This window comes from Homo sapiens, chromosome Y (assembly GCF_000001405.40).
Source record: "Homo sapiens chromosome Y, GRCh38.p14 Primary Assembly".
In the NCBI taxonomy this organism is placed as follows: Eukaryota; Metazoa; Chordata; class Mammalia; order Primates; family Hominidae; genus Homo; species Homo sapiens.
Genome location: NC_000024.10, coordinates 2549297 through 2550416, shown reverse-complemented (window position 1 = coordinate 2550416; position 1120 = coordinate 2549297). Strand labels below are relative to the sequence as shown.

Sequence of the window (1120 nt, the reverse complement as noted above, 5' to 3'; positions counted from 1 at the left end):
TAGTACTCCACCCAACAGGCAACTGGGAGTCTGCCAGTGATACAGGAGTTAAGAAGAAATCACTTAGGCAGACAGTAAGGGTATGGGAGTCCTTGGTAAGGCTTTTCTCTTTAATGAAAAGCAGCCCCAAGTCATTTTCTAACAAAGAGCAGCCTGTCAAGTCAAGCTGCAGACATAGACAAGCCAGCTGGGAGCTTGCACGGGTGAATGCCGGCAGGAACTAGGGACTAGAGACGTTCAACAGGGTGGCTCCATCTTCCTCCTCTTTGTCGGCCACTTGTACAGTAAGGAGCAGACAAGATGGCGCCTATCAAGTGGAAAGCCCATTTGCATAATAAGATTAAGGTGGGGCAATCAGCCTTCCCCACAGGCGCTATGTAAACGTACCTGATGGAACCAATCTGTGAGCCCTACATAAATCAAACACCACCTTCTCCAGCCTGCCTATAAAATCTGCTGCTGACTGCCACCTCCCTACTTTTCAGATGTCTCTCTCTCTCTCTCTCTCTGGCAAGGAGCTGCTCTCTTCTTTCCTTTCTTTGTCTCTTAAACTTTCCACTCCTTAATCCACCCACACGTGTCTGTGTCCTGAATTCTTTCTCGGTGCGAGACAATGAACCCCAGGGTATGTACCCCAGACAATGTAGCTGTTTCATCATGATGACAGTCACAGGCAAACCAAGGTGGTGATAACTGCATTTGCTCACTGGCTCTGCAACAAATCCACTCAAGACCTAGAAAAGAGTATATTCAATCTGCGACCCTCCATGCTGCAGAGGCATCTGATGAGAGGGCTTTTTGCAGAATCAGGTTAAAGTATGGTCAGAGGTGTTTGAACCAGAGCAACTCCATCTTGAATAGGGGCTGGGCAAAATGAAGCTGAGACTTATGGGCTGCATTCCCAGATGGTTAAGGCATTCTAAGTCACAGGATGAGATAGGAGGTCGGTACAAGAGACAGGTCATAAAGACCTTGCTGGTAAAACAGGTAAAAGATAAACAGGTAAAGAAGCCGGCGAAAACACACCAAAACCAAGATGGCCACAAGAGTGACCTCTGGTGGTCCTCACTGCTACACTCCTACCAGCTCCATGACAGTTTACAAATGCCATGGCAACGTC

At 47.8% G+C, this 1120-nt stretch overlaps 1 annotated feature.

The window, feature by feature from the left end:
* Nucleotides 1-728: an enhancer, noted in NCBI's record as "H3K4me1 hESC enhancer chrX:2467730-2468457 (GRCh37/hg19 assembly coordinates)". NCBI's record gives its function as "activates a minimal SCP1, AML or CMV promoter by ChIP-STARR-seq in primed H9 embryonic stem cells {active_cell/tissue: H9 hESC(primed)}" and the evidence as "EXISTENCE:reporter gene assay evidence [ECO:0000049][PMID:30033119]".